General features: G+C 47.9%; 2 protein-coding genes, 1 long non-coding RNA gene and 2 pseudogenes across 13 annotated transcripts in view, besides 1 other annotated feature; 3 read left to right on the top strand and 2 right to left on the bottom strand.

Annotated features, from left to right (window-relative positions):
- The window catches only part of PKD1P6-NPIPP1 (PKD1P6-NPIPP1 readthrough), a 26,879-nt pseudogene extending 25,259 nt beyond the window's left edge, over positions 1-1,620 (top strand). The window contains exons 15-18 of the transcript NR_123722.1: positions 23-83; positions 193-228; positions 525-794; positions 1,585-1,620. The product of NR_123722.1 is annotated as a PKD1P6-NPIPP1 readthrough, transcript variant 2 (transcript). The remainder of the gene's footprint in view (positions 1-22; positions 84-192; positions 229-524; positions 795-1,584) is intronic.
- NPIPP1 (nuclear pore complex interacting protein pseudogene 1) overlaps positions 1-2,027 on the top strand; it is a 19,183-nt pseudogene extending 17,156 nt beyond the window's left edge.
- Positions 1-11,932, bottom strand: part of LOC100505915 (uncharacterized) — a 14,787-nt gene extending 2,855 nt beyond the window's left edge. Inside the window, exons 1-2 of the long non-coding RNA NR_125434.1 lie at positions 11,532-11,932; positions 2,988-3,208 (exon numbers count right to left, since the gene is read on the bottom strand). This is a non-coding gene — a long non-coding RNA (uncharacterized LOC100505915). The remainder of the gene's footprint in view (positions 1-2,987; positions 3,209-11,531) is intronic.
- Positions 1-12,198, bottom strand: part of PDXDC1 (pyridoxal dependent decarboxylase domain containing 1) — a 178,484-nt gene that overhangs the window by 46,876 nt on the left and 119,410 nt on the right. The gene's annotated exons all lie outside the window — the stretch shown is intronic.
- Positions 11,797-12,091: an enhancer, noted in NCBI's record as "tiled region #13846; HepG2 Activating DNase unmatched - State 1:Tss, and K562 Activating DNase unmatched - State 1:Tss". NCBI's record gives its function as "activates a minimal TATA promoter and a strong SV40 promoter by Sharpr-MPRA in HepG2 and K562 cells {active_cell/tissue: HepG2 | K562}" and the evidence as "EXISTENCE:reporter gene assay evidence [ECO:0000049][PMID:27701403]".
- Positions 12,008-12,198, top strand: part of RRN3 (RNA polymerase I transcription factor RRN3) — a 34,314-nt gene continuing 34,123 nt past the window's right edge. Inside the window, exon 1 of one of the 2 annotated variants that reach the window (NM_001301064.1) lies at positions 12,008-12,198. In NM_001301064.1, coding sequence (NP_001287993.1) covers positions 12,110-12,198 — 89 coding nt within the window. In that variant the 5' untranslated portion in view covers positions 12,008-12,109. The other variant, NM_018427.5, reaches the window with a different exon arrangement.

Genomic DNA, 12,198 nt, shown 5'->3' with positions numbered 1-12,198 from the left:
TGAAAGTGATTGTAATCCATAGGGAAATGTTTCAACGTGCGCAAGCGTTGCGGCGGCGGGCAGAGGACTACTACAGATGCAAAGTAAGGAGCTTCCTCCCCGCAGTTGCAGGATAGTTCAGTGCTGATGCAGATGATGCCACGGCCCTTAGACTCTCTCAACATTCAATTTCTCATGTGTTGGCTTTTTCAGATCACCCCTTCTGCAAGAAAGCCTCTTTGCAACCGGGTAAGTTTGCTTGTTTTCCTTGCTTTTGGACATAGTCTGCCAGGTCAGGACATGGATACATTTTTCTCCCTACGGCTCTGTGCTCAAGCCCTGCAGAGGGAGATGGCAGAGAGGAAGGCTGCCTACAAGCATCACAGTCCCATCCCTGTTGGTAACCGTGTTGCGCAAAAACACCTTCATCCCCACCCAGTGGGGCCCCCATCTAATATTCTAAGTGTCAGAGGTTCCGTATTTGTAATAACAAATGGGCCCTGACTGTAAATTAGTGAAGAGTGAATGTAACTTATTACCCACAGGGACAATTCCAAATGAGGGCCTTAAATGATGCTCAGCTAAGCTGGTTCTTGTGTGGCCTCTGTACCTTCAAAAGCTGCCGAGTCCTATGATTACACGCGATGGGACTTGTACACTTGAAGTGAAACACAGTTTTAAAACTTGCTTTGTTTAGAATTCCCACCTCATTTTTCCATGGACAAAAGTATTCTTTATGTCCTAGTGCACTTACAATTTGGTATTACCTGGGAGTGAAAAGAAATATTACAGCCATGCCTAACTGACTTCTTGAGGTAAGATTGTTCTGTCAGAAAACCCTCTCCCAGTTCCCCTGCAGCTCTTCAGGAATCCACATCTCTCCAGAGCTCTTTGTTCTCATGGGTGGCACCTCCAGAGTGAAGAAGATCCTTTGTCAAGAAGGGAAACAGAGGGGAAATGAGAGGGTCCTGCAGGCAGAGCTGGAATCAACTTCCACTCTGCCTCTTGCAAGCTGTGTGACCCTGGGCACAATTTCTCCTTCCTCTGGAAACCTCTGTTTTCTTAGATTTGGAGCAGGGTGGTCACACTGACCTTGCAGAGTTCTGAGAATCAGAGACAGAACATAAAGGGCCTGGAAAACATTCTCCAAAAAGAAGCTGCAACATGTGTGGACAATGGGCTTTTCATGCCTCTCTTACTGTCTCTTACTGTCTGTTGACCTGGTGCAAGAAACATGCTCTGGTGATGGCTGTGAGGGAGGAATGAGGATAGACATAGACACTCCTGTGTCTCAAACATGCTTCTTTATTACTCTGTTATGACTCTGTCTTCCCTGGGGCAGGACCCCAGCCTGCCTACATTTGCAGACAGACACAGTGGCATGTGGAGACAACAGTGTGTCCCAGTGACTTTTCTTTACCCCCCAGCTGTCGGCAGTACTCAGTGGAAGGGTGATATGACACTGATACTGCTATTTTGAAACCTGGAGGATGGAAAGGTGCAAAAATCTATCACCAGCAACAGAAGGTGCAGACTGTGTTGGTGGCGGTAATTTTGTCCATCAAATGAATATGTGTGAAAACATTCCCTCCTTTGGCCCTACAGGTCAGAATGGCGGCAGCGGAGCATCGTCATTCTTCAGGATTGCCCTGCTGGCCCTACCTCACAGCTGAAACTTTAAAAAACAGGATGGGCCACCAGCCACCTCCTCCAACTCAACAACATTCTATAACTGATAACTCCCTGAGCCTCAAGACACCTGCGGAGTGTCTGCTCTATCCCCTTCCACCCTCAGCGGATGATAATCTCAAGACACCTCCGAGTGTCTGCTCACTCCCCTTCCACCCTCAGCTCCACCCTCAGCGGATGATAATCTCAAGACACCTCCCGAGTGTGTCTGCTCACTCCCCTTCCACCCTCAGCTCCACCCTCAGCGGATGATAATCTCAAGACACCTCCCAAGTGTGTCTGCTCACTCCCCTTCCACCCTCAGTGGATGATAATCTGAAGAAACTAACGAAGAATAAATAAATAATATAAAAATAAAATGAATACTGCAGTCCTTATGTTATTGCTTTGTTTCAATATCTGGTATGATTGCCTGAGGGACCTGAGGTTTTTAATCGTAGGGGTTTTTTTAATCTTTAGAAGTGGTTGGTTATGTAAAATATTATTATTTGTTTTTTTTTTTGAGACTGGAGTTTGCTCTGTCACCCAGGCTGGAGTGCAGTGGCTCGATCACAGCTCACTGCAGCCTCAACCTCCTGGGCTTCAAGCAATCCTCCTGCCCCAGCCTCCCAAGTAGCTGGGATCACAGATGTGTGCCACCACGCCTGGCCAATGTTAAAAAATCCTTTAACTTTTTTGTAGAGATGCACTCCTGGACTCAAGCAATCCTCCTACTTGTCCCGACCACCAGCCTCTTTCTGATAAACATTTACACTGTTTATTATCTGATGCCATTTCTATCTTCTTCCTTGTCATCCAGACATCAAAGAATTAGGTTTCTTCAGGGTTTTCTTTTTCAAGTGCTCAGTGTTAAAGATCACTCACATTAGGGCCAGACACCACGGCTCATGCCTGTAATCCCAGCACTTTGGGAGGCCGAGGCGGGCAGAGCACTTGAGGTGGGGAGTTTGAGACCAGCCCGGCCAACTTGGTGAAACCCCACCTCTACTGAAAAAATACAAAAATTAGCTGGGCGTGATGGTGCATGCCTGTAGTCCCAGCCACTTGGGAGGCTGAGGCATGAGAATCGCTTGAACCCAGGAGGCAGAGGTTGTAGTGAGCCGAGATCACATCAGCACACTCTAGCCTGGGTGACAGAGCGAGACTCTGACTCAAAAAATAAATAAAATAAATATCACTTACATTAGATATACCCAAGGGGTGGTCTATAGAGACTTGGAAGCAGTGGTTATTGCCACAGGGGCACGGAAGTCATCTGGCTATGCCAGGGTGCCCAGGGGATACTCGGGGTGGGTGGCATGGTGCTGCTGGGGACTCACCGCACAGGACGCTCTGATTGACGCACTGCCAGGAGTAGCGCTCTGTCTTGGGGCTGCAGCCGGCCTCCTCAGCTCGAGTGTAACAACAGTCGTGGCCATGGCAGCACCTGCGGATGTCACATGGGCAGGACAGCAGGTGGGTGAAGCTCTCTCCTGGCCCTCCTCTCTTGCCAGGACCATGGGTGACTGAAGACCCCCAGGGAGGCACAGCATCCTCTTATCTAAGATTTTTTTTTTTTTTTTTTTAAGAGACAGGGTCTTTCTCTGTCGCCCAGGCTGGACTGCAGAGGCACAATCATAGCTCACGGCAGCCTTGAACTCCTGGGCTCAAGCGATCCTCCCACTTCAGCGTCCCAAGTAGCTGAGACTACAGGCACACGCCAGCATGCCCGGCTGGTTTTTTAATTTGTATTTCCTTTGAGACAGCGTATCTCTCTGTTGCTCAGGCTGGAGTGCAATGGCTCAATCAGCTCACTTTAGCCTTGAACTTCCGGGCTCAAGTGATACTGCCACCTCAACCTCCCAAGTCTGCTACTACAGGAACACAAACTCCTTTTTTAAATTTTTTGTGGATATGGGGTCTCACTATGTTGCCTAGGCTGGTCTCGAACTCCCAGGCTCAAGCAGTCCTCCTACCTCAGCCTCACCAAATGCTGGGATTACAGGTGGGAGCTACTGTACACCTGGCCTTATCTAAGCTGTTTCCCTGAAAATCCCCGTCTTGGGTAATGATTCCTTTGGCCCCACCATGCCCTGTCCTGCCTTCCTGGCTGTGCCCAAGCTTGGTCCCTGCCTGCCTGCCTGCCTCCCTCTCTGGGTCTCGAGCTCCTGTGACACATGACTCCTCTCTCTTCCTGGAGTGATCCAAGCCCTGCCACTTCCTGACTTTGCCCACACTGTACCCTCTGCCTGGGGCAACTTCATGTCTGCCCATTGACCCTTAGGCCTCAGCCCAGGCACAAGCCCCTGCCTCCGGAGGTCATCCAGGCCTCACCAGGCTACACCCTCTCGTAAAATTGGATTTCCTCCCTTCAGGGCAGGTTTATAATGAAATCCTCCTCAGAGGCCAGGTGCGGTGACACCCATCTGTAATCCCAGCACTTTGGGAGGCTGAGGTGGGAGGATCACTTGAGGCCAGGGGGTCGAGACCAGCCTGGGCAACATAAGAGAGACTCTTGTCTCTATAACAAATTTAAAAATTAGCTCACCAGGCCAGGCTCAGTGGCTCATGCCTGTAATCCCAACACTTTGAGAGGCCGAGGCAGGTGGATCACAAGGTCAGGCGTTCAAGAGCAGCCTGACCAACATGGCGAAACCCTGTCTCTACCAAAAATACAAAATTAGCCAGGCATGGTGGCACGCACCTGTAATCCCAGCTACTCGGGAGGCTGAGGCAGGAGAATCGCTTGAACCCAGGAGGTGGAGGTTGCGGTGAGCCAAGATCACGCCATTGCAGTCCAGCCTGAGCAACAGAGCAAGACTCTGTCTCGAGACAATAAAAACACACAAAAAATTAACTCGCCATGATGGCACATGCCTATAGTCCTAGCTACTTGGGAGGCTGAGGTGGGAGGATTCCCTTCAGCCCAGGAGTTTGAGGCTGCAGTGAGCCACTATGATTGTGCCACTGCACTCTAACCTGGGCAAAAGCGAGACCCCAGGCTAGAGTGCATGATTTTGGGTCACTGCAACCTCCACCTCCCAGGTTCAAGTGATTCCCCTGCCTCAGCCTCTTGAGTACCTGGGACTACAGGCATGTGCCACCACGCCTGGGTAATTTTTGTATTTTTAGTAGAGACAGGGTTTAGTAGAGACCATGGTGAAACCCCGTCTCTATTAAACAAATCTCTACTAACCCCATCTCTACAAAAAACAGCTGGGCATGGTAGTGCACACCTGTAATTCCAGCTACTTGGGAGGCTGAGGCACGACAATCATTTGCATCTTGGAGGCAGAGTTTGCAGTGAGCCGAGATCGTGCCACTGCAGTCCGTCCTGGGTGAAAGAGCGAGACTCCGTCTCAAAAAACAAACAAACAAACAAAAAAGACCGTGCCTATCTGTCTATCTCCCTCATAGGTCAGTTTCCACCTGAGTGTAACCACATCAAGTATCCTAGTATATTTCATATTTACAGGAAAATAAATGGGCAAATACTGTCATTTACGGAGAACCTGCCCTGTCCTGTACACCGTGACATATTTTGTGGTTTGTGGTTATGTGCTCTAATCCTTACGATAGCTCTAAAATAGCTCAAAAAGTTATTCCCATTTTGTACATAAGAAAATTGAAGTTCTGGAAACATAAGGCAATTGCCCAAAGTAATAGAGTAAATTACAAAGCTAGGATTTCTTTCTTTCTTCCATTAATTAATTAACTATTTGAGATAGCGTCCCTGTTGCAGGATGCAGTGGGGAGATCATAGCTCACTGCAGTCTCGACCTCCTGGGCTCAATTGATCCTCACGTCTCAGCCTCCTGAGTAGCCGGGACTACAGGTGCACACCAACACTATGGCTGATTTTTGTATTTTTCTGTAGAGATCTGCCTAGGCTAGGCAGAGATTCTGGCTAGGCTGGTCTCAAGCTCCTGGCTCAAGCAATTCTCCTGCCTCACCCTCCCATATAGCTGGGACCACAGGTGTGTGCCACCACTCCCAGCTGACTTGTTTATACCAGTGGTTCTTAATTGGAAGAGTTTTGTACCCCAGGGACATTTGGCAACATCTGGAGATATTTTTGAATGTTACTGTGGGGAGGAGAGGAGTGCTACTGTCATCTACTGGGTAGAGGCCAGGGATGCTGCTGAACATCCCACAGTTCACAGAACAGCCTCCTCCCCACCCAACAGAGAAGTATCTGGTTGGCCCAAAATCTCAATGATGCCAAATCTAAGAAACTGCTTTGTATTTCTCTGAGATACTGGGATGAGGAACGCTCTAAATTAGTTGTCTTTGAGGATAATGTATGTATACATACACATATATGTGTATACATGTATATAACTAAAGATATATAGTTGAGATCTTGCATTTGTGTTAATGAATGTAGTTTTTATAAAGATAATTGACTCATACAATAATTGTTGACTCTTTGGAAAGGAAAAAGGACAAATGAGATACATGCTATTGGTTTTGTTATTTAGAAATTTTTCGTGTGGATCCGCCCTACCATTCAGCCATTTGCAAACCATTAGTTGAGCATAACTTAATCCCTTCTAGTTCACAGCAAAGATTCATCAAAAGCCATTTGGTATACTGTCACCTCATCTCTCTAACAGTGTTGATTAGATTACAGGAGGGTTACAGGAGGGCACCTTATCCAAATTGGCCAATGATAAATTCTTTTTTGGTACCTTACTATATATTTGTATCCTCAGAACAAATTCTCCTTTTCTGCTTAAGCTGGCTTGACTTTGTTTCTTTCACTAGCAAGCTAAGAGGCTTTGGCCAACAGAACTACTCTAGGGGTAGCTGTAAAATTTATCTCTAAGGAAAGGCTGCTGTTTTGAAATAACAGTTTAATGGGTCTTCTGGGTATATGATGATAGTAAAGCAAAATTTTGTTCTGGAATGAAGAAGCTGATTACATTGTTGTATTACAAACAATATATTACTCAGTGAAGTGAAAGGCCACACTGTGGGCAGGGTGGTGACTTTGCAGATAGCATGTTAATCCTTGCATGCTTTTTGTTGTTTCTCTTTTTGGAGGGGGAGGGTCTTAATTTTCTTTATCCCTCCCCCACCCCCTTTATTTTCTCTGGGGAAGGCAAGACTGGATAAGGAGGCTTTTATCCTGCCAAGATGAGTTGGCCCACAGGACAATTTGACTGAATAGAGGCTCCACAAAGAACGGACATGGTCAAAGAATTACAACAGAAATTATGCATTTAGTTTTAAGGTTTTCTTTTTCTCCTTTTTTTTTTTTTTTTTTTTTTTTTGAGACCAAGTCTTGCTCTGTTGCCCAGGCTGGAGTGCAGTGTTGCGATCTTGGCTCACTGCAACCTCTGCCTCCTGGGTTCAAGCAATTCTCCAGCCTCAGCCTCTCAAGTAGCTGGGATTACAGGCACCTGCCACCACACCTGCTAATTCGTATTTTTAGTAGAGATGGGGTTTCACCATGTTGGCCCAGCTGGTCTTGAACTCCTGATCTCAAGTGAGCCACCTGCCTCAGCCTCCCAAAGTACAGGGATTACAGGCATGAGCCACAGGGCCCGGCCAGTATTTTTCTTGTATAATGCTCAGAGTTTCCTTTAAATCTTTTTAAAAACTTGGCAGCCTTAGTCTTAGCTGTGCTTTGGGAAAATAAGGAGCTGCACTCAAGCTTAAGAAGATATTGCTGGAAGTGTACATTGGCACAGCCTTCAAAAAGCTTCTTGGTGCCCTCCTGTAACCCAATCGACACTGGCTAGAGAGATGAGGTCATATTGCATCAAATGGCTTCCAGTGATTCTTTGCTGTGGACAAGAAAGTTGCTCTTTTTTTTTGAGAGGGAGTTTTGATGCCTAGGCTGGAGTGCAATGGCAGTGATCTCGGCTCACTGCAACCTCTGCCTCCCAGGTTCAAGTGATTCTCCTGCCTCAGCCTCCCAAGTAGCTGGGATTACAGGCATGTGCCACCATGCCAGGCTAATTTTGTATTTTTAGTAGAGACAGGGTTTTTCCATGTTGGTCAGGCTGGTCTCGAACTCCCGACCTCAGGTGATCCACCCACCTTGGCCTCCAAAAGTGCTGGGATTACAGGCGTGAGCCACCATGCCCGGCCAAGAAGGTCACTCTTTATGCTCAACAAATGTATTGCAAATGGCTGAAAGGTAGGGAGGATCCAGATGAACAATTTCTAAATAGAAAAACTAATAGTAGCCAGACACGATGGCTCACACCTGTAATCCCAGCATTTTAGGAGGTCAAGGTAGGCAGATCACCTGAGGTCAGGCATTTGAGACCAGCCTGGGCAACATGGAGAAACCCCATCTCTACTAAAAATACAAAAATTAGCCAGGTGTGGTGGCGGGCACATGTAGTCCCAGCTACTCAGGAGGCTGAGGCAGGAGAATCGCTTGAACCCGGGAGGCAGAGGTTGCAGTGAGCTGAGCTTGTGCCACTGTACCCCAGCCTGGGCAACAGAGTGAGACTCTGTCTCAAAAAAAAAAAAAAAAAATCATAGATATCCAATTTGTTCCTTTCTCCTTTCCTAAAAGCTTTTGGTGCCCCCTCCAACCCAACAGTTCCACCCTAGAAAAACACTTGTACACATACATCAGGACATGATACAAGAATATTCAGGCTGGTCGCGGTGGCTCATGCCTATAATCTCAGCATTTTGGGAGGCCGAGGTGGGAGGACGGCGGGAGATCATGCCACTGCACTCCAGCCTGGGCAACAGAGGGAGACTCCGTCTCAAAAAAAAAAAAAAAAAAAAAGCATAATGTTGAAAACAAACAGCAGTATAATACAGCATGGAGATAACTTTATAAAATGCAAAGACAAATAAAAGTAAATATAGTGCATTGTTTAGGAGTATAAATATGATAATTATTCAAAGAAAACTAAAATGACTTTTAAAAATCATGATGGTGACTATTTTTGGGAGGAAAGCAGGTAGAAGGTGGGATCCGAGAGCAGCACAGAGTAAGTGTCAATTGTCCTAGTTAATGTTCGGCTTCTTAAATTGGGCGATATGTTCACAGGTGTTCATTATGTTCTTTTTTTTTTTTTTGGAGACGGAGTCTCACTCTGTCACCCAGGCTGGGGTGCAGTGGCGCGATCTCGGCTCACTGCAAGCTCCACCTCTCGGGTTCATGCCATTCTCCTGCCTCAGCTTCCCAAGTAGCTGGGATTACAAGTGCCTGCCACCACGCCCGGCACATTTTTTTTTTTTTTTTTTTTTTTTGTATTTTTAGTAGAGACGGGGTTTCACCGCATTAGCCAGGATGGTCTCGATCTCCTGACCTCGTGATCCGCCTGCCTCGGCCTCCCAAAGTGCTGGGATTACAGGCAGGAGCCGCTGTGTCTGGCCCATTATGTTCTTATAACTTACATTAACATATTATTTTGTACATATCAAGCTTTTTTTCCCTTTTTTTTTTTAAGAGATGAGATTTTGCTTTGTCACCCAGGCCAGAGAGTGTCGTGGTGTAGTCATAGCTCACTGCAGCTTCCAACTCCTGGGTTCAAGTGATTCTCCCACCTCTGTCTCCCAAATAATTGGAACTACAGGCACGTGCCACCATGCCTGGGTAAGTTTTTTAAAAGTGTTATTTGTAGAGACGGAGTCTGGCTGTGTTGCCTGGGCTGGTCTCAAACTCCTGGCTTCAAGTTATCCTCCTGCCTCAGCCTCCCAAAGCTCTGGCATTACAGGTGTGAGTCACTGCACCCAGACTCAGACTTTTTTTAAGGGAAAGAATGGGAGTGTAGGTGGGGAGACACACTTTGGGAGGCCAAGGTGGGAGGATCACTTGGGCCGGGGGTTCAAGACCAGCCTGGGCAACAAAGTGAGACCTCGTATTTACCAAAAATACAAAAAATTAGCTGGGCTTGGTGGTGTGGGTTCGGGCGGCTGAGGTGAGAGGATTGCATAAGCTGTAGGAGCCCGAGGCTGCAACGAGCCATGATCGCGCCATTGCGCTCTAACTTGGGCTAGACAATGAGATCCTGTCTCAAACCAAAACAAAACAAAACAGATAATTGTCAGATTGCTGTTTTGCTATTGTTGCTTTTTGTTTTTGCTTTGCTTTCCCTTGGAAGTGAAGAAGAGATTCTCATTTAAACAGTTATCTTGAAGTATCTTTGTGAGCTACGGTGCAATTATTTCCTCTGTCCTTGAGACACAGATGATTCCTGTCCAACATTCCCAAGGAACTCAGTAAGGACCAAATAGAGACTCAGGAAAGACAGTTACTGATTTTACACTGTTGCAAAACAGAGCTATGGTTTATGTTTAACAAACTGCTGGCGGGGCGTGGTGGCTCATGCCTGTAATCCCAGCACTTTGGGATGCCAAGGCGGGCGGATCACTTGAGGTCAAGAGTTTGAGACCAGCCTGGCCAACATGGTGAAACCCTGTCTCTACTAAAAATACAAAAATTAGCTGGGCATGGTGGCGCATGCCTGTAATCCTAGCTACTGGGGAGGCTGAGGCACAAGAATCGCTTGAACCTGGGAAGCAGAGGATGCAGTGAGCCAAGATCATGACACTGTACTCCAGCCTGGGTGACAGAGCGAGACTCTGTCTCAAAAAAAAAACAAAAAACAAAAAAACCAAATTGCTGTATTTTATGTTGTGAAATAGGGTCTTGCTGTGTTGTCCAGGCTGGAGTGCAGGGGTACAATCACAGCTCACTGCAGCCTTGACCTCCAGGGCTCAAGTGATCCTCCGTCCTCAGTTTTCAAGTAGCTGGGACTACAGGTATGCACCACCATATGTTGCCCAGGCTGGTCTTGAACTCCTGGAGAGAGATACATATAAACACACACACACACACACACACACACACACACCTTTTTTTTTTTTGAGACACAGTTTCACTCGTCACCCAGGCTGGAGTGCAATGGCACGATCTTGGCTCACTGCAACCTCTGCCTCCTGGGTTCAAACTATTCTCCTGCCTCGGCCTCCCAAGTAGCTGGGATTACAGGCACTGCCACCATGCCTGGCTAATTTTGTATTTTTAGTAGAGACAGGGTTTTGTCATGTTGGCCAGGCTGGTCTCAAACTTCTGGCCTCAGGTGATCCACTTGCCTCGGCCTCCCAAAGTGTTGGGATAACAGGCGTGAGCCACTGCGCCGGGCCCATACATATGCATTTTTAAAAACTTATTTATTTATTTCGAGACAGGGTCTCACTCTGTTGCCCAAGCAGGAGTGCAGTGGTGCTATCTCCCAGGCTCAAGCAATCCTCAGCCTCCCGAGTAGCTGGGACTACAGGTGTGTGCCACCACACCCAGATAATTTTTATTATTTTTATTTTTTAAATTTTTTGTAGAGATGGAGTTTCACCGTGTCACCCAGGCTGGATATTTTTGTATTTTTGATAGGCCTGTACAGTTTCCAAAGTTGCAACCTTTTCCCCTCCCTGAGAGTAGGGGCAGCCCCTGCTCTCCCTCTACATCCTCCACAGTCCCGAGGTTTTGGCCTCTGTTTCCTCCGTTTCCTATGCTTGGAACGCCAGTGGCTCTTTTGTTGGTCTGGCTGACTCCTGTTCCTCTTTTAAAAATTTAAGTTTGGCCGGGCGTGGTGGCTCATGCTTGTAATCCCAGCACTTTGGGAGGCCGAGGCGGGCGGATGACCTGAGGTCATGAGTTCGAGACCAGCCTGGCCAACACAGTGCAACCCCGTCTCCACTAAAAATACGAAAATTAGCCGGGTGTGGTGGCATGCGCCTGTAATCCCAGCTACTTGGGAGGCTGAGGCACGAGAATTGCTGGAACTGGGGAGGCGGAGGTTGCAGTGAGCTGAGATCACACCACTGCACTCCACCTGGGCAAAAGGGCAAGACTCGGCCTCAAAAGAAAATAAATAAATAAATAAATAAAGTCAAGGGGGTAACACCTCTTCGTAACTCTCCTGTTGTTTCTCATGCCAGCATCACCATAGCCTTGAGGCTCTGAGGTAGGTCACTTCGTCGAGCTCGTTTCCGTGAGGATAACGTTATCTTGGGTGTCTGTGAGACTGCTGCACTGAGTATAGAGCCCAGGCTCCTGGGTCAGCCGGGTTCGAATCCCCTTTCCTCCGTGAAGATCTGGGTCAGTCACAAGTGCTTCAGTTTCTTCGATTTGACTGAGGGAGGCTTTGACTCCAAAAAATTAACACTTGAGTGTACCCGGCCACAGCTTAGCACATCCAGGGTGTTTCCACCCTTTCTTCGGGATCCTCAGGGCTGGATGGAGCCGGTCCTTCCCGTCTCTCCTTATACTCACGCACTAGCGCTGGCTGGAACAAGTCCTCCAAGTAGAACGAGGAGCGGGTTTCAGCGGCGCTCTAGCCCGCCGAGAGCATACGCCCTCCCCACGCGGGGCCGCTGATTGGCTGAAGGTTGCGCTGGCACGCGCAACTTCCGGGACAGAGGCTGTGGCTGGAAGGAGCTGGGCATCCGGCCTGAGGCGCAGCGGTCGCGTTAGTTCGGCCCAATGGCGGCACCGCTGCTTCACACGCGTTTGCCGGGAGATGCGGCCGCTTCGTCCTCTGCAGTTAAGAAGCTGGGCGCGTCGAGGACTGG

This window comes from Homo sapiens, chromosome 16, assembly GCF_000001405.40.
Source record: "Homo sapiens chromosome 16, GRCh38.p14 Primary Assembly".
Taxonomy (NCBI): Eukaryota; Metazoa; Chordata; class Mammalia; order Primates; family Hominidae; genus Homo; species Homo sapiens.
The sequence above is the reverse complement of the archived record's forward strand: the minus strand, read 5'-3'. Positions and strand labels throughout refer to the sequence as shown.